This window comes from Homo sapiens, chromosome 19, assembly GCF_000001405.40.
Source record: "Homo sapiens chromosome 19, GRCh38.p14 Primary Assembly".
Classification (NCBI taxonomy): Eukaryota; Metazoa; Chordata; class Mammalia; order Primates; family Hominidae; genus Homo; species Homo sapiens.
In genome coordinates, this window is record NC_000019.10 from 15,521,977 (window position 1) to 15,541,805 (window position 19,829).

General features: G+C 47.9%; 1 protein-coding gene across 3 annotated transcripts in view, besides 1 other annotated feature; it reads left to right on the forward strand.

Moving 5' to 3' along the window:
- CYP4F22 (cytochrome P450 family 4 subfamily F member 22) overlaps positions 1–19,829 on the forward strand; it is a 43,793-nt gene that overhangs the window by 13,452 nt on the left and 10,512 nt on the right. For all 3 annotated transcript variants that reach the window (XM_011527692.3, NM_173483.4, XM_011527693.3), the window contains 7 exons: positions 1,717–1,823; positions 3,360–3,582; positions 7,733–7,877; positions 15,385–15,438; positions 15,559–15,686; positions 15,896–16,017; positions 18,474–18,741. In XM_011527692.3, the coding sequence (XP_011525994.1) occupies positions 3,361–3,582; positions 7,733–7,877; positions 15,385–15,438; positions 15,559–15,686; positions 15,896–16,017; positions 18,474–18,741 (939 nt within the window). In that variant the 5' untranslated portion in view covers positions 1,717–1,823; position 3,360. The remainder of the gene's footprint in view (positions 1–1,716; positions 1,824–3,359; positions 3,583–7,732; positions 7,878–15,384; positions 15,439–15,558; positions 15,687–15,895; positions 16,018–18,473; positions 18,742–19,829) is intronic.
- Positions 16,929–17,129: a silencer, noted in NCBI's record as "peak3387 fragment used in MPRA reporter construct". NCBI's record gives its function as "represses an SCP1 promoter by STARR-seq MPRAs in K562 erythroleukemia cells {active_cell/tissue: K562}" and the evidence as "EXISTENCE:reporter gene assay evidence [ECO:0000049][PMID:32103011]".

The window sequence follows — 19,829 nt, forward strand, 5'->3', positions numbered from 1 at the left end:
TCTGCTAAAAATACAAAAATTAGCCCAGCATGGTGGCGGGTGCCTATAATCCAAGCTACTCGGTAGGCTGAGGCATGAGAATTGCTTGAACCCAGGAGGCGGAGGTTGCAGTGAGCTGAGACTGTGCCACTGCACTCCAGCCTGGGCAACAAAAGCGAAACTTTGTCTCAGAAAAAAAAAAAAAAAAAAAGGAAACACCATATGGTTTTCCCCAGTGCACAACAGTTCCAATTTGTTCACATCCTCAACCACACTTATTTTCTGTTTTTTTGTTTCAGTTGCAACCATCTTAAGACTGGTCATGTAGTCTGTATTTTAAGTCATAATATCCATCCCAATTGGGATCTCCAAATCTGATGATGACCCACCCAGCTGTTTTCCCAGGAAGTGTTAACTAATAAAAATTTCACTTCTGCAGCTGGGCGAGGTGGCTCACACCTGTAAATCTCAGCACTTGGGAGGCAGAGGTGGGAGGATTGCTTGAGCCTAGGAATTTGAGATCAGCCTGGGTAACGTCATGAGACTCTGTCTCTACAGAAAATAGAAAAAATTAGCTGGGCATGATGGTGTGCACCTATAGTCCCAGCTACTCTGGAGGCTGAGGTGGGAGGATTGCTTCAGCCTGGGAGGTTGAGGCTGCATTGAGCCGTGATAGTACTCTTTAGGGTCACTATTTAGCCTGCGTGATAGAGTGAGACCCTGTCTCAAAAAGAAATTTCACTTCTTTATTTTTATTATTTTTATTTTGTTTCGAGACGGAGTCTCACTCTATCGCCCAGGCTGGAGTGCAGTGGCACGATCTCAGCTCACTTCAACCTCCGCCTCCCAGGTTCCAGCTATTCTCCTGCCTCAGCCTCCCGAGTAGCTGGGATTATAGGCGCACGCCACCACGCCCGGCTGATTTTTGTATTTTTAGTAGAGATGGGGTTTCACCATGTTGTCCAGGCTGGTCTTGAACTCCTGAACTCAAGTGATCTGCCCACCTCGGCCTCCCGAAATGTTGGGATTACAGGTGTGAGCCACTGCACCCGGCCAACAAATTTCACTTCTGCATGGAAAATGTGGTTTGGCGTTGGCTGGCAGAAGACCTAAGTGAGGCGTGGTGTGGTGGCTCATGCCTGTAATCCCAGCACTTTGGGAGGCTGAGGTGGGCGGATCACTTGAGGTCAGGAGTTCAAGACCAGCCTGGCCAACATGGTGAAACCCCGTCTCTATTAAAATACACAAAAAATAATTAGCTGGATATGGTGGCAGGTGCCTGTAACCCCAGCTACTTGGGAAGCTGAGGTGGGAGAATCGCTTGAACCCAGGAGGCAGAGGCTGCAGTGAGCTGAGATCGCACCAATGCACTTCAGCCTGGGCAACAAGAGCAAGACTCTGTCTCCAAACAAAAAACAAAAAAACTCACAACAAGATCCCATGAGAACTCACTCACTCACTATCTGGAAGACAGCGCCAAGGGGATGGTGTTAACCATTCATGAGAAACCAGCCCCGTGATCCAATCACCTTCCACTAGACCCCATCTCCAACACTGGGGATTCCAGTTCAACATGAGGTTTGGGTGGGGACACAGATCCAAACCATATCAGATTCTCTGAGATGAGGCTGGTACTGCCCGGAGCATGGTGGTGCACGGCAGATGACAAGCCCTTCCTGCCTGCTCACTGTTTTATTAACATTATGGTTACCTGACTGCTTTGTTTTGGTTCCTTAGGAGCTGGCCCTAAAGCAAGGACCTGAGTGCAAGTAATTTTTTTGGGAAGTAATAACAGAAAATACCAGCAAGGAAGAAGACAGTGAACCCAAAAGAATTGAAAACAGGTACTCAGATAAATACATGTACACACATGTTCAGAGTAGCATATTTCATAATAGCCAAAATGTAGAAACAGCCCAAATGTCTGTCCACAGATGAATGAATAAAGAAAATGTGGGGCCAGGTGTGGTGGCATGCACCTGTAGTCCCAGCTACCCAGGAGGCTGAGACAGGAGGATCACATGAGGCTGGGAGGTCAAGGCTGGAGCGAGTCGTGATCATGCCACTGCACTCCAGCCTGAGTGACAGAACCAGACCCTGTCTCAAAAGAAAAAAAAAAAAAAGGAAATGTGGAATATCCATACAATGGAATATTACTCAGCAGTACAAGGAATTAAGCTCTGATTGATGCTACAATGTGGATGAACCTCAAAAACAGGATGCCGAGTGAAGGAAGCCAGACACAAAAGGCTGCATAGCATTTAATAGATTTATATGAAATATCCAGAATACTTAAATCCATAGAGACAGAAAGCAGATTAGTGGTGCCAGGGGCTCCAGGGAGGGAGAATGGGAAGTGGCTACTAACAGGGATGGGGTTTTGTTTTGGCATAATGAAAATGTTCTGAAACTAGCTGGGTGAGGTAGCTCATGCGTGTAATCCCAGCACTTTGGGAGGCCAAGGCGGGAGGATCGCTTGAGCCCAGGAGTTCGAGACCAGCCTGGGCAACATGGCAAAATCCTGTCTCTACAAAAAAATACAAAAATTAGCTGGGCCTGGTGGCATGCACCTGTAGTCCCAGCTACTTGGGAAACTGAGGTGGGAGGATTGCTTGAGCTGGGGAGGTTAAAGCTGCAGTGAGCCGTGATCATGCCACTGCACTCCAGCTGGGTGACAGAGGAGACCTTCTTTCAAAAAGAAAGAAAGAAAGAAGGAGAGAGAGAGAGAAAGAAAGAAAGAAAGAAAGAGAGAGAGAAAGAAAGAAGTCCTGAAACTAGATGGAGGTGGTAGTTGCATTATATGTAAATGTACTCAATGCCACTGAATTATTCCCTTTAAAATAATTAATTTTGTGTTATGCGAATCTCATCTCAACTGAAAAAGAAGAAAAAGAAAAAGAAAGAGGGGGAAAGGACGTGGCCAATAGGGAGTTTCCACTGTGGGCAGCTGGAGTTTAATCTCATTGGGGAAGCCTAGAGTGAGTGTGGAACCTATATCTCAGGGTCATTGCACCCAAGGGGTGAGGGAGCTGGGGTATTTATCCACCAATGAGCCTCAGTCATTGGTTGAGAGCTGCTCCTTTGGGAGGGGTGTCTTGGTTTCCCAGCCTGACCGGCTATGCCTGGGCAGAGAATGCCCTATGGTAGAGAAGTCAAGAGGGTGGCCTTGTAAAAGTCAAGGCTGAGAGCATACGAGCAGGGCCCCGAGTGCATCCATCTGTCCAGCTGGTTGGAGATCATGGCTGGGGGATGAAGAGGTATCCTTGGTGTCTGGAACTCACGTGTGCTGGGAACCTTCTGTGCACTAGGCACACCATGCATTACCCCATGGGTCATCGTCTTGTGCATGGCACCGACCCCCTGACCCTGTGTGTCCCCAGGATGCTGCCCATCACAGACCGCCTGCTGCACCTCCTGGGGCTGGAGAAGACGGCGTTCCGCATATACGCGGTGTCCACCCTTCTCCTCTTCCTGCTCTTCTTCCTGTTCCGCCTGCTGCTGCGGTTCCTGAGGCTCTGCAGGAGCTTCTACATCACCTGCCGCCGGCTGCGCTGCTTCCCCCAGCCTCCCCGGCGCAACTGGCTGCTGGGCCACCTGGGCATGGTAAGTGTGGCCAGGCAGGACTGGGCTGGGCTGGGCTGGGCATGTGCAGGGTAATAGGTAGGGATGGTGGGCCTGCTGGCTTCCCACAGCCTCCCAAGAATCTGGTTGGGGCTAGCAGCAGATTTATATGATGGGGTATGAGGCTGAGGCTCAGAGAGGGCAAGCAGTTTACCCAAGGTCACACAGGTGGGAGGAGGCAGAACTAACTTTAAAGATGAATTATTTTGGGAGGCTGAGGTGAGAGGATTGCTTGAGGCCAGGAGTTTGAGACCAGCTTGGGAAACATAGTGAGACCCCCTCTCTACAAAAAATTCAAAAATTATATGGGTGTGGTGGTGCACACTTGTAGTCTCAGCCACTTGGGAGGCTGAGGTAGGAGGATTACTTGAGCTTAGGAGTTCGAGACCAGCCTGGGAAACACAGTGAGACCCCATCTCTATAAGAAAAATTACAAAAATTAGCTGAGTGCAGTGGCACACACCTGTAATCCCAGCTACTTGGGAGGCTGAGGCGCGAGGATTGTTTGAGCCTGGGAGTTTGAGGCTGCAGTGAGCTATGATTGTGCCACCGCATTCTAGCCTGGGTGACCTAGGGAGACCCTGTCTCTCTAAGGAAAAAAAAAAGAACTCTCTCTATAATTTTATAGCTATCACTGTACAATAGGTACCTTTACCTTTGGAGTTTGGAATCCCAGGGCAGGGTTGGAGGAGGAGAGGGGAACACATCCTATTCCCAATGTGGTTCCACTCTTCTCCCTTGAATGCTGTGGTCCTAGGTGAGGACTCTTACCCTTTTATTGCATTGAATTTTTTTCTTTTTGAGACAGGGTCTCGCTATGTTGCCTAGGCTGATCTTGAACTCCTAAGCTCAAGCAATCCTTTGGCCTCAGCCTGCTGAGTCCTTTTTAATTTTGCAGATATGTGCCAAGTATTTTTCCAGGCAAATATTAACTCATTCAGTTCTCTTGACAATTCTAGGAAGTAGGTCCCATGACTAGCCCCATTTTGCGTGGAAGATTACTGAGGCACAGAGAGGTTAAGTAGCTGACCTTAGGTCACACAGCTTGTAAGTGGCAGAGCTGGGGTTCAAACCCAGCCTGTCAAGCTCTAGCCTCCTTGATCTCAGTTCTACCCTCTGATGCCTCTAGTTTCTGTAGTTAGTTTCTAGATGAGATAGGCTAGACTTTTCCTTTTTTTTTTTTTTTTCGAGACAGTCTTTCTCTGCTACCTAGGCTAGAGTGCAGTGGTACAATCATGGCTCACTGCAGCCTCTACCTCCTGGGCTCAAGGGATCCTCCTGCCTCAGCCTCCCAAGTAGCTGCGACTGCAAGCCTGCAAGTGCATGCCCCCACGCCTGGCTAATTTTTGTACTTTTAGTAGGGACAGGGTTTCACCGTGTTGGCCAGACTGATCTCAAACCCCTGACCTCAAGTGAACCACCGTGCTCAGCCTCCCTGTTTTTAGTTCTACTCTCTGATGCCTCTACTTTCTGGATGAGATAGGCTGGACTTTCCCTTTTGGACTTTTCTCCTTCATTTCTTCCATCCCTTACCCCTGCTCAGGCCTTACCCTCTACTGCTGGTCCATGGTCCAGCCCCCTCCTTGAGTTCCTACCTCCAGTTTCATCCCTTCGGTCCGTCTCCCATCCTGGCCCCAGAGGGATTCTTGGATTCAACCACATCCCTGCCCCTGCTTACACACCCTCCATGGCTCCCTATTGCCATTCAGAAAAAGGCTGGTGTTCAAGGCCCTTTTGGCTCCAACCTCCATCCTCCTCACTTGTTCCACCATCCCTCCCTAGCTCCATAGAATCACTTCCCACTCCTGTAACAAGGCTCCCACCTCCAAGGCCTTTCCCAAAACTGTACTCTCTGTCCAGGTATCCTTCTCTGCTAGATCAACTTCTGCTCATTTTTCATGCCCCATCTCCAGTGCCCTTACTCTAGAAAGCCCTCTCTGGGTTTGATGGTTGTCCTAGAGGGAGTGGCCAGGCTCTAGTGCCTGGAGGAGTTGGCCAGGGTCAGCTCTAAAGCCCAGCCTTGACGTTGTCCTGCCCAGCTCCTGGGCCCACGGGGGCTGGGTGAGGCTGCAATTGAGCCCTGGGTGTGGACATGATCAAGGCTGAGCCTGACGGGGAAGGAGACACAGGAGCTGGAAAGGAGTCATTTGTTGGTTGAATCATTTGGCAATTGCTGAGCCTTATCACTGGCTAGGCACTGGGTTAGGCTCCTTTGTAGCTGAGCTCTTCTCTAATTCTCATAGCCTGTGAAGTGGGGATGGATCTGTCCTATTTCATGGATTCACACTTTTATGGATTTGAGCACAGAGAGGTTAAGTGGCTTGCTCAAAGTCACACAGCCGCTGAGGGTGGGTTTGAACTTGGATTTTTCTGACGTTGAGCCTGAAGCTTTCCTGCCTCATACAGCAGGTGAGGAAGTGCAGTTTTGTAGCTAGGTGGCCTGGGTTCAGGTACTAGCTTTGCAGATGATGCCAAAGCTTGCCCATATTCCTCTCAACCCATTTTTGGATGCAGTGGCCTGACGTCCAGCTGCCAGCTCCTGCATTCTAGGGGCTGTCTCTGGTGGCTGGAGCCCACTCTGCAAGTGAAATAAAGGCTGGGCACAGTGGCTCACACCTGCAATCCCAGCACGTTGGGAGGCCAAGGCAGGAGAATTGCTTGAGCCCGGGAGTTTGAGACCAGCTTGGGCAACATAGCAAGACCCAGTTTTTACAAAAAAATTAAAAATTAGCCAGGCTTGGTGGTGCATACCTAGAGTCCCAGTGCCTGTCCTGCCACTGTCGCTTCTGTGAGCTTGGGAATTAACGCCCCCAGGAGTGACCCTCAACCAATGACTGATGGGCATTGGTGTATAAATACCTCAGCTCCCTTGCCCTCAGGTGGAGTGACTCTGAGGTGCAATGCGCTACTCTGCCCTCCAAAGCTCCCCAGTGGGACCGAGCCCTGGTTGCCCTTGGTGGTAATTTCCTTGACAACTCATCCTTTACTGGTGGTCTTCTTCCCCTATCTCATGACCCATGTTTTTGGGGATCATGCCCCAAATAAACTACCTGCCCTAGAACCCTTGTCTCAGGACTTCCTTCTGGGGGAGCCTCAACCAGAACAGTCACCTACTTAACTTGCAACTTCAGAAAAACCATTCGACCTTGCTGAACAAAATAAAATGAGGAAAATAATAGCAACGGTCTCATAGGGTTCTTGTACTGATCAAATATGCCAGTACATGAAAAGTCTCCACCACAGTGACCAACACAGTGCAGGCACCTGTATGTGGTAAAGATAGCAACAGTAGTAATATCTTATTACTCACATAGCAAGTACTTGATAAATGCCAACCATGATCATTATTGTGTTTATCATTACTATTTTTATTTTTATTTTTTAAGAGACAGGGTCTTGCTCTGTCACCCAGGTTGGAGTGCAGTGGGGTGATCATAGCTCACTGCAGCCTTGACATCCCAAGCTCAGGTGGTCCTCCTGCCTCAGCCTCATGAGTAGCTGTGACTACAGGCATGTCCCACCAAGCCTGGCTAATTTTATCTTCTTATTTTATTTTATTTTTTTTTTTTGAGGTGGAGTTTTGCTCTTGTCGTCCAGGCTGGAGTGCAATGGCATGATCTCGGCTCACTGCAACCTCTGCCTCCTGGGTTCAAGCGATTCTCCTGTCTCAGTCTCCTGAGTAGCTGGGATTACAGGCGCCCACCACCAAGCCCAGCTAATTTTTGTATTTTTAGTAGAGATGGCCTTTCACCATGTTGTCCAGCCTGGTCTCGAACTCCTGACCTCAGGTGATCTGCTTGCCTTGGCCTCCTGAAGTGCTGGGATTACAGATGTGAGCCACTACACTTGGCTACTATTTTTAGCTATTGAACATCAGCCATGGGTCAGGCCCATGCTGGGGCTCTTGCTTTGTTATTTCATGAATCCTTTCTACTGCCCTCAGAGGGAGAGTTGATTCTCCTCCATTTTTTCAGATGAGGAAATGGAGGCCCAGGGAGGTGCAGCCAACTGCCTGAAATCATAATGTAGCACTATTGGGCTTGTTTTGAGACTACAGGAGGTGGCAGGAGGAAGGCAGTGGGGGAAGCTGGGGCTGGGTACCTCCTCATTGCTCCTCCCTTACCTCTTGCAGTACCTTCCAAATGAGGCGGGCCTTCAAGATGAGAAGAAGGTACTGGACAACATGCACCATGTACTCTTGGTATGGATGGGACCTGTCCTGCCGCTGTTGGTTCTGGTGCACCCTGATTACATCAAACCCCTTTTGGGAGCCTCAGGTACGTGGGCTGGGCCTCCGATCTATGGTTGAGTCCTCAACTCCCAGAGCCTATCTGAGATTCTAGGCAGGTGGGATATCCAGAGGAAGGGTCATTTGAATAGGGCTTTGAAGGATGAATAAGAGTTTGGCAAAGCAAGCATGGCAATCCAGATTGTGAGAACAGTATGGGCAAAGATGTGGCAATGACTAAGAGTTCCAGAAACTTCGAGGGAATGTCCATCCATCTGGCAGTCAGAGCCAGGCACGTTTGGATAGGCAGTTGTTCCTTATGGTTTTGTTAAGTAAGTGTTACTCAATCCCTGGCCGTGGCACGCCCATCATTTGGTTCTGACATTCCCATTATGGCCAGGACTCTTGGTGACTCAGCCTGCAGCCTGCTGTCATCACTTGGGCTGACTCTGACTGGCAGGGAGGGAGATGTGGAAGAATTCCTTCTTCCTCGTGCAGTCCACACCTATCCCAAGATGTGAGACTTCCAAGTCTGCTTGGCAAGCTCTTGCTCAGCCTTCAACACCCAGCTCCAATGGCCGCCTCCTCCAGGAATCTTTCCCTGGCTTCCCAGACAGACCTATTCTCAGTCCTAACCCTTTGGACCTGGGTATGTCTGTGTCCAGCTCTATCTTCCTCATGAGCGGGACTCTGGATCCTCAGTGTGGCCTTGTGTACCTGGTGTATTAGTCAGTTCTCACGCTGCTATGAAGGACTACCCTAGACTGGGTAATTTATAAAGGAAAGAGGTTTAATTGACTCACAGTTCCGCAGGGCTGGGGAGGCCTCAGAAAACTTACAATCATGGCGGAAGGGGAAGCAAACACGTCCTTCTTCACATGGCAGCAGGAAGGAGAAGTGCCAAGTAAAAGGGGGAAATTCGTTAAATCTCGTGAGAACTCATTCACTATCATGGGAACAGCAACATGGGGGTAACCGCCCCCATGATTCAATTACCCCCCACCGGATCCCTCGCATGACACATAGGGATTATCGGAATTATAATTCAAAATGAAATTTAGATGGGACACAGCCAAACCATATTACCTGGGCACCTCCAGAGGTATCGGGACATCTGAGAGAACTCACTCTCAAATGAACCAATGAGCTCCAGTAGGTCAGGCATGGTGGTTCACATCTGTAATCCCAACACTTTGGGAAGCTGAGGCAGGAGGGTTGCTTGAGGCCAGGAGTTTGAGACTAGCCTGGGCAACACAGCAAGACCCTGTCTCTCGAAAAAAATAAATAATTACCCAGTGGCAGTGATGTGCACCTGTAGTCTCGGCTACTTGGGTGGCTGAGATGGGAGGATCACTTGAGCTCAGGAGTTTAAGACCAGCCTGGGTAATCTAGCAAGACCCCATCTGTACAAAAGCATTTAAAAATATTAGCTGGGTGTTGTGGTGCATGCCTGCAGTCCCAGCTACTCAGGAGGCTGAGGTGAGAGGATTGCTTGAGCCCAGCAGATGGAGGCTGCAGTGAGCTATGATTGCACCACTGCTGTACTCCAGCCTGGGTGACAGAGCAAGGCTTAGTCTCTTAAAAAAAAAAAAAAAGTGGGAGATTCCAGGAATTTTAGGATCTCTGTCCCAGCTTTGCCTCTACAAACACGCATCTGGGGACCATCTCCAGGGCTGCCACCCAGGAGCTGTGAAAGAAGCTGCCATCTTCCCCTTCCACAGCTATTCCCTCTCAATGCCTTGTTGTCTCCCGTTATTACATTTGTGAAGGGATGACGATCCCTGTTGAACTAAGGGGAAAACCTAGACCTTGGGAGGGAGAATTGACTCTTCTGAGGGATGAATACCAACTTGTGGGAAGAGCCCTGGGCCAGGACTGAGGTGGGTTGGCTTCAAATTCTGGCCTTGGCACATGCTTGCTGTGAGACCCCAGCCATTTATCTAGCCTCTCTGGATCTCAGGTTTTGATCTGTAAAATGGGTGCAGTTGTGAAGCCTGAATAATATAATGTGGATAAGAGGCCACGTGCAGTGACTCATGCCTGCAGTCTCAGCACTTTGGGAGGCCACGGCAGGAGGATCACTTGAGCCCAGGAGTTCAAGACCAGCCTGGGCAACAGAGCAAGACTCTATCTTTACAAAAAATTTAAAAAATTAGCCAGGTGTGGTGGTGCGTGCCTATAGTCCCAGCTACTTAGGAGGCTGAGGTAGGAGGATTGCTTGAGTCCAAGAGGTTGAGGCTGCAGAGAGCTATGATTGTGCCATTGCATCCAGCATGGGCAACAGAGTGAGATTCTGTCTCTAAAAAAATTAAAAAAAAAATAATATGGATAGGCATTAGTAAGGGTTTCTCTTCTGCCTTTTTAATATATGTTTTTCTTTCTCTTTTCCTCCTTTCCTTTCTTCTTCCTCCCTCTTCTCCTCCTCCTTCTACTTCTCTCTCTACTCCTCTTTCCCCCTCCTCCCTTCTCTTCTTCTTTCTCTCCTCCTCCTTCTACTTCTTTCTTCTTCTCCTTCTCCTCCTTCTCCTTCTTCTCCTCCCCATCCCCCTCCTCCTCCTCCACCTTCTTCTTTTTCTTCCTCTTCTTTTTAGACAGAGTCTCACTCTGTCACCCAGGCTGGAGTGCAGTGGCATGATCTCAGCTCACTGCAACCTCTGCCTCCCGAGTTCAAGTGATTCTCCTGTCTCAGCCTCCCGAGTAGCTGAGACTACAAGTGTGCACCACCACACCTGGCTAATTTTTGTATTTTTTTTTTTCAGTAGAGACGGGGCTGCACCATATTGGCCAGGCTGGTCTTGAACTCCTGACCTTAAGTGATTCTCCTGCCTTGGCCTCTCAAAGTGCTGGGATTACAGGCGTGAGCTACAGCGCCTGGTCTCTCTTTTTTCTCCTTCCTCCTCCCTTCTCCTCCCCCTCAGAGCATCAGTTTCCTGAGCACCATCCTGCCTGGTTCTGAGACTCCAAACAGACCGAGGAGTAGTGCCCCAGCAGGGGCTGTCATGTAGTAGATGCTTAAGCCTCTTGCCCTCCCCTCATCCAGTGGAGGGAGGGGATATTCTGTGTACCCCATCAGAGAAGCCAGATAGGGAACTCCAGGATGGAAAAAAGGGTGGTGCTGTGAGTCAGCCTGGAGTGAGGCCTCTTGGCCCCAGGGTGCCCCCACCTGGAATTACACAGATCAGGCTCCAGTCACAGACACCACCCTGGATCAGGACCTCCTGGGGCCACACCTGGGAGTGGCTTGCTGTTCTGAGCTTGGAGCTGCACAGCCCTTGAGCCTGGAGGAGGGCCCAGCTCCTGTTGGAGCTTCAGTTTCCCCATCATCTTATGGGCCTTTGGACTAGGAAATTTTAATGAGAGAAAGTAGATAAACATGCTTTATAGAGAACATGATGATATATAGACATATAATTGTAGCTTGCTTTTATATCATCTTTTTAAAATGGAGGTGAAATTCATGTAACATATAATTAACCATTTACAAGTGAACAATCAGTGGTATTTAGTGTATTCACCATGTTGGGCAACCACCAGCATTTTCCAGTTTCAAAATTTTTAGTCACCTCATAAAAAAACTCTGTACCCATTGAGTAATCACTTCCCATTTCCCTCCTCCTCCCATCCGCTGGTAACCTCGAATCTGCTTTCTGTCTCTATGTATTTGCCTATTCTGGGTACATCATAGAAAGAGAACCACATAAAATGTGATCTTTTTGTGTCTGTTTTCTTTTACTCAGCATAATGTTTTTGAAGTTCATTCACGTTGTAGTAGGAATCAGTTTCATTCTTTTTTTTTTTTTTTTTTTTTTGAGACAGGGTCTTACCCTGTCACCCAGAGGCTGGAGTGCAGTGGTGTAGCCATAACTCATTACAGCCTTGAAATCCTGGGCTCGAGTGATTCTCCTCCTGCCTCAGCCTCCCGAGTAGCTGGAACTGCAGGCACGCACCACCATGCCCAGCTAATTTTTATTTTTATTTTTGTAGAGATGGGGTCTTGCTATGTTGTCCAGGTTGGTCATTAGGGCTGAATTCATTTCACTGTATGGATTTTTTTTTGTTTACCCATTCACCTTTTGGATGTTGTGAATCATGCTACTATGAACATATGTGTTCAAGTTTTGGGGTGGACATATGTTTTCATTTCTCTCTTGGGTAGATACCTAGGAGTAGAATTGCCAAGTCATATGGAATTCTGTACTTAACTTTTTAAGGAGCCACCTTGCTGTTTTCCACAGAGGGTGTGCATTAATTTTCTACTAACAGGAAACACAACTATTTATCTCACAAGTTCTTGATGCCAATAAATAATCATTTTAACCATAGTAATAAAAATAGCCAACAGTTGGTCAATTATTCATTTACCTACGCACGTATTTAATGAGCATCTACCATGTGCCAGGAACACAAGAGCTTGTTGAGTCTTATAGGGATGCCATGAGGCAAGATTGTTCTATTTTCTCCTTTGGCAGTGGTAACATGTCCAGGCTTACATATCTAGTTAGTGGCAGGGCTGGGATTTGAACTCAGACCTGGCTGGCCCAGAACCCAAGCTCTCAAACATAGTGATATGCAGCTTTCTGAGCATGAGTTTCTCCATGCTGGCACCATGTGGGGGTATTTCGTACACCGTCTCATCCATGGTAGGCATTACCATCTCTCCCTCTTTTTTTTTTTCTTTTTAAAAAACATTTTTGTAGAGACAGAGTCTTGCTGTGTTGCCCAGGCTGGTCTTGAACTTCTGGGCTCAAGTGATCCTCCTGCCTCTGCCTCCCAAAGTGCTAGGACTGCAGGTGTGAATCATTGCACCTGGCCTACCATCTCCTTTTTGCTGGAGGGGAAAACTGGTGAGGAGCGTGGACACAGACTTTCCTGGCATTGTGGTCAGAGTTGGAGTGGAAAAGGAACCTGAGGATGAGAGAACAATGGTTCAGCTGAGAAGGGGGTTTGGAGAAGGCTTCCTGGAGTAGGTGTCAGTGAAGCTGGGCCCCGAAGGATGCCTAGGAGCTTGCCAGAGAAGGAGTCCCAGATGGAAGGTCCTGCCAGTGCCTTGATGCAGATGTGTGAAAATTCCAGGGGAATTCAGGTGATTTAGGGTGGCTGGAGTGAAGGTGATATGTTGGGGGGAATAGGAAATGAGACTGACAGTTAAGCAGGAACTGGACAGCAAAGTGAATGAACTTGTACTTTATCCTGGGAGTGATAGGGAGCCACGGGAAGTATTTGAACAAGACAGCTATTGACCAGATCCTGGTGTCAGAAAGATCCCTGTGGAGCCTATCTTGGAGTCCAGAGTGCAGAGAGGAGAGGAGTGACTAGACTCCTGCTTTCCTCTTCAATGCTGCCTCCTCCAGGAAGCCTGCCCTGACTTCCAACAGCCCTTTTTCTGAGCCTTCCTTAGCACCTAGCACACTTTCTACCTTCTTGGTAATTGCATGGTGTGTCTCTGCTTCCCTTTCCTGCCCCACTCAGGAGCTCCTCCAGGGAGGGCATAGAGCTGAGCCATCTGTGGGTCCCCAGCATCACCCAGCTTGGGTTGGGCACAGAAAGGCAGCATAAGAGGTGTGATGAATGGGGGGATGAGTGGGCGGATGATTGTGTAGGCAATTGGCCAATTCCTAGGGATTGTGTCGGTGTAGGTGGCTGAGTCGCATTCAGGTAAAAGTGATATCACTCGAATTTCAGATACTTCCTTCCTGGGCCTCTGCCCATTCAGCCCCAAATCTGTTCAGTATATAGAAGGAGGATCCATCCATTCATCCATCCACTCATTCATTCATTCATCCATCCACCTTCCACCTATCCACTCATTCATCCATCCATCCACTCATCCATCCATCCACCATCCACCCATCCATCCATTCATCCATCCATCCATCCACCCACCCACCATCTATCCATCTGCTATTCATCCATCCACTTATTTATCCATCCATGTACTCATCTGTCCCTCTACTCATCCATCCACCCATTTATTCTTTCATTCATCCATCCTTGGATTGACTTATTTATTCATTTAATAAAAATTTATCTAGCACAACATATCAGTAATCAACACGAACCCTCCTGTTAAGGGGCTTGTAACTAAGTGGATACAATCCAGAGTGACTGCTGGGTCAGGGGTGGGGAGAAGCATTCAAGTTCTCATACAGGATGAGGGAAGAGTGTTTGGGGCAGAGAGAACAGCTGGTGGAAAGTCTCAGAGAAGAGAGAGCACGTGGTCTTTTTAAGGAGCTGAGAAAAGTTCTGTGGTGTGGCCGGGCATGGTGGCTTATGCCTGTAGTCCCAGCACTTTGGGAGGCTGAACTTGGAGGATCACTTGAGCTCAGGAGTTCAAGACCAGCCTGGGCAATATGGCGATACCCTGTCCATACACAAAATTAAAAAATTAGCCAGGCATGGTGGCGTATGCCTGTAGTCCCAGCTACTCGGGAGGCTGAGGTGGGAGGATCGCTTGAATCCAGGAATTGGAGGCAGCAGTGAGCTATGATCTCACCACACACCCCAGCCTGGGTGACAGAGTGAGACCCCATCTCAAAAAAACAAAAAACAAAAAGTTATGTGGTGTTAGTTCTGTGACGTCGAATAGGGGGTGGAAGACAGAGGTGTCTTGAGAGAGATTTGGACAAAGGCAAATGATTCAGGGCTTTGAAAATGGGCTGGTATGTGAGGGTGATGGGTGTGTGAGCAGGAAGGGGCGTGGTCAGATCTGATAGTCAGATGAGATTCTCCTGGGGCCATTCATGAGGGACACACTGGAGAGGGTGAGGCTGGAGGCTGGGAGCACAGGAGGTGTGATTCAGATGGCCTGAGCTGGCAGAAAATAAGGGGGTGGATTAGGGGAAGACTCAGGTGAAGAAGTCCATTCTGGATAGACAGCTCAACCTGGTCAAAGGTTCAGAGGTGATCCACAGCAGGCGATGAGAATAGGGTTATCTGGTGTATGTTGAAGGATGAGGTGGTGGGAGAGGCATACAGGGGCCAGATGGAATTGGGTTTCAATGCCAGGCTGAGCCTGAACTTTTTACAAGTGCAATGGGGAGCCATGGGAGGTGTCTGAGCAGGGGAGGCTCATGTTCAGATCAGTGTTTTATAAGGATTTTTTCTCGGGTAGGTGTGGAGGACGGACTGGGTGAATACAGTGGGAGGTTGGAGCCCAGTGAGGAGGACTAAGGAAGTCATAAGCAAAGGTCAAGGGTTGGAACTCTGTTTTGAGGCCAGGCACGATGGCTCGTGCTTGTAATCCCAGCACTTTGGGAGGCTGAGGTGGGTGGATCACTTGAGGTTAGGAGTTCGAGACCAGCCTGGCCAACATGGTGAAACTCTGTCTCTGCTAAAAATACAAACAAATTAGCCGGGCATGGTGGCGGACACCTGTAATCCCAGCTACTCAGGAGGCAGAGGCAGGAAAACTGCTTGAACCTGGGAGGCGGAGGTTGCAGTGAGTGGAGATCGCACCACTGCACTCCAGCCTGGATGACAGAGCAAGACTCCGTAAAAAAAAACAAAAAACCAAAAAACTCTGTTTTGAGTCACCATTTTCCCTTTGCCCTCCACAGCTGCCATCGCCCCCAAGGATGACCTCTTCTATGGCTTCCTAAAACCTTGGCTAGGTGAGTGCCCAGTGGGTAGGCTGGGGCTGGGGCTTTAGAGAAGAGAGGGAAGAGCATGGGGTTCCTTGGAAGGTTTCAGAGTAACAGGAGAGGTCCCTAACCTCAGTCTTCTGGGCCCAGGGGATGGGCTGCTGCTCAGCAAAGGTGACAAGTGGAGCCGGCACCGTCGCCTGCTGACACCCGCCTTCCACTTTGACATCCTGAAGCCTTACATGAAGATCTTCAACCAGAGCGCTGACATTATGCATGTGAGTCCTAAGGCTTTGAGGGAAGAGGGTGTCTTGGGAGTGAGGCTGGTCCAGGCTCCAACTCATGCATGGGCAAGCCATGTGATGTCAGGAGCCCTCACTGACTTTATCTATAAAATGAGCTTGTAGTGAAAACGCAGTCGGGTCCTTGTTAGGCTGACTCCCTCTCTGTGGTTTCCATGCACAGTCACCATGTATCTCTCTTCCAGGCTAAATGGCGGCATCTGGCAGAGGGCTCAGCGGTCTCCCTTGATATGTTTGAGCATATCAGCCTCATGACCCTGGACAGTCTTCAGAAATGTGTCTTCAGCTACAACAGCAACTGCCAAGAGTGAGTGTGACCCTTCTTGGGAAGATGGAGCCAGCTGCTCTAGGAGCAAGATGGTGGCAGGAGAAAGGGAACTCCCAGGCATTAGACAACTCTGGCCTATGGGAGCTCTGCCACGGATGGGCCATGTGCTTCCGGGAAACTGACCATCTCTCTGAGCTTCACTTTTTTTTTTAATCAAAAAAATGGGCATCATAATTCCTTCCCCATAGTCATTGTGTGAGAATTAAATGAGATAATGTGAATCAATGGCTTGGTATAAAGTAGGTGCTTAGTAAATGTTAGTATTTTTTCATTCCACTAGGAAGAGTATGTGGTCTTTGGACAGTGTCCTCCCCACTTTCTGAGGCTCAGTTTCCTTGTTTGTAAAAAAAGGATGACAATCTCTTACTTTCTGAGAGATGCTTTAAGGATAAAATGATGCAGCACTGCCCTGGCACATAGTTGATGCTCAGAGAATATTTGTTGAGTAAATGAATCAAATAACCAATGCCTTGCTTCATTAATTCATTCATTCATCAAATATTCATTGTGCACCTACTACGTGCCTGGCACCATGATATTGCTGCTGAGAACAGGGTGGTGAACAACAGACAGTCACAGTTCTGTGAAGTTTATAGTCTAAGTGGGGACATAAGGAATAAGGGAGATAATTAATGCAAAACTTGCAACACATAGTAGGTCCTCAGTAACAAGCTAATGACTTCGTTACTCTAGGCATTATAGGGGCACGTTCCAGTTGGATAAGGCAGAGATTGTCTTAGAAATTAAATAATTAATTCATCCAAGAAATATTTACTGAGTGCCTAGTAAGTGCCAACCCTGAACTAGGTGCTGGGAACACCATATTCAACAAGAAAGACAAGATGTTGCTTTTCTAGAGCTTCCATTTTAGTAGGAAGACAGGTAATAACCATGAACAAGTAAACAAACAAGAAAACGACAGACTGCAATAAGTGCATGAAAACAAGCCCACTTCAGGACTGAGGACAGCTCCCTTCAAGCCTGCTTCACCTGTTAGTTTTTAAAAAATAATGGCTTTGTTGAGACACAATTCACATACTATACCATTTACTCATTTAAAGAATACACCTGAACTGCTTTTAGTATATTCAGAGTTGTGCAACCATTACTATAATCAATTTTAGAATATTTTCATCAATCCTCCCCCACCCCAAGAAACTTCATACACTTTAGCAACCCGTGCACTTCCCTTTCTCCTTCAAGTCTAGGCAATCACTAATCTATTTTCTATCTCTATAGATTTGCCTGTTATGGATATTTCACACGGATGGAATCATACAGACTTTTGTGTCTGGCTTGTTTCACCCAGCATAATGTTTTAAAGGCTCATCCATATTGTGGCATGTATCAGTTATGTATTTCTTTTCATTGATGAATAATGTTCCATTTACCACATAATACCACATTTTGTTTATCCAGTCACCCATCGATGGACACTGTTTCCACTTTTCGACCTTTATGAATAATGCTGCTATTAACATTCATGCACAAAGTTTTGTGTGAACATACATTTTTAATTCTTTTGGCTATATACCTAGGAGCAGAATTGCTGGGTCATACGGTAATTCCATTTTAAACATTTTGAGGAACTGCTAAACTTTATTTCAGTGGGTTTCAACATGGTATGAAGTGGTTGTACCATTTTGCTCTCCCAACCAGTGATGTATGAGAGCTCCAGTTTTTCCACATACTCACTAACACTTGCTTTTTTTTGTTGTTGTTGTTTTGTTTGCTTTTTAGAGATAGGATATTGCTCTGTTGCTCAGGCTGGAGTGCAGCCCAACACTTGTTATTATAAGTTTTGATTTTAGTCACCTTAGTGGGGTGAAGTAGTATCTCATTGTGGTTTTGATTTGCATTTCTCTGGTGACCAGTGCTGTTAAGTATCTTTTCACATTCTCATTGGAAATTTCTGTCTTCTTTGGAGAAATGCCTATTCATATCCATTGCCCATTTTAAAATAAGTTTTAAGAATTCTTTATTTATTTTAGGTACCAATCCCTTATCAGATAGACAATTTGCAAATATTTTCTCCCATGCTGAGGAGTGTAACCATTTAGTTTTAGTGATGCTACAATGACTATGCCTATGTTGAAAGTCTTTATCCCTCTTTGGGCCTGTTCAAAAATATACCCGAGACTGGGTGTGGTGGCTCAGACCTGTAACCCAGCACTTTGGGAGGCCAAGGCTGGAGGATCACTTGAGCTCACGAGTTCAAGGCTGCAGTGAGCTATGATTGTGCCACTGTACTGCAGCCTAGGTGACAGAGCAAGACCCTATCTAAAAAAATAAATAAATGAATTTAAAAATAGAGTTAATATAGGGCTTCTCTTTGTTATCTATTCAATGGGGACAGGAGGCTTATCTTAGCCAAGCCAGGGCTGTGCTATGCTAGGGGAAGGGGCTACACTCATGGATCCCCTTCTCCTTGGCAGGAAGATGAGTGATTATATCTCCGCTATCATTGAACTGAGCGCTCTGTCTGTCCGGCGCCAGTATCGCTTGCACCACTACCTCGACTTCATTTACTACCGCTCGGCGGATGGGCGGAGGTTCCGGCAGGCCTGTGACATGGTGCACCACTTCACCACTGAAGTCATCCAGGAACGGCGGCGGGCACTGCGTCAGCAGGGGGCCGAGGCCTGGCTTAAGGCCAAGCAGGGGAAGACCTTGGACTTTATTGATGTGCTGCTCCTGGCCAGGGTGAGGCTGGGCCCCCTGGAATTGCTGGCCTCCCGAGGGCTGGCCTCCCGAGGAATTGCATGTAAAATGATAAGTGTTAAAACTCCATTAGGCGTGGTGGCTCACACGTGTAATCCCAGCGCTTTGGGAGGCCAAGGCGGGAGGATCGCTTGAGCCCTGGAATTGGAGATCAGCCTGGGCAACACAGGGAGACCCTGTCTCTACAAAAAACAAATAAGTTGGGTGTGGTGCCGCATGCCTATGGTCCCAGCTACTTGGGAGGCTGAAGCAGGAGTCTGGCTTGAGCCCAGGAGTTGGAAGCTGCAGTGAGCTATGATGGTGCCACTGCACTCCAGCCTGGGCAACAGAAGCGAGACTCTGTCTCAAAACAAAACAAAACAATACACATGCTCAAAACAAAAAGAAATTCACATGGGTCTGGGATGGGGTCAGAACATGTAAGACTTACTGCGTGAGTTTTCTTGGGCTGCTATTACAAAGTACCACAAACTAAATGGCCTAAACATCAGCCATTTATTCTCTCACAGTTCTGGAAGCTAGAAGTCCAAGATCAAGGTATCTGCAGGGCTGGTTTCTTCTAAGGCCCATGAAGGATGAATCTGTTCCAGGCCTTGCTCCCTGGCTTGCAGAAGGCTGTCTTCTCCCTATGTCTGCGGATCATCTTCCCTCTGTGCCTGTCTCTGTCTTCGTCTCTTTGTATAAGGATTAGGGCCCTGCCCTAATGAGTTCATTTTGTCTTGATTACTTCTGCAAAGACCTCTCTCCAAACACGGTCATAGCCTGAGGTACTGGAAGTTAGGACTTATGAATTCTAGCGGAGGGGGGGTGGGCAGGGAACCATTCAGCTCATCACAATTGCAAAAATGAAATACATGACCTTGGGCTGGGCGTGGTGGCTCATACCTGTAATCCCAGCACTCTGGGAGGCCAAGGCAGGTGGATCACTTGAGGTCAGGAATTCGAGACCAGCCTGACCAACATGGAGAAACCCCATCTCTACTAAAAATACAAAATTAGCCGGGCGTGGTGGCACACACCTGTAATCCCAGCTACTCGGGAGGTTGAGGCAAAAGAATCACTTGAACCTG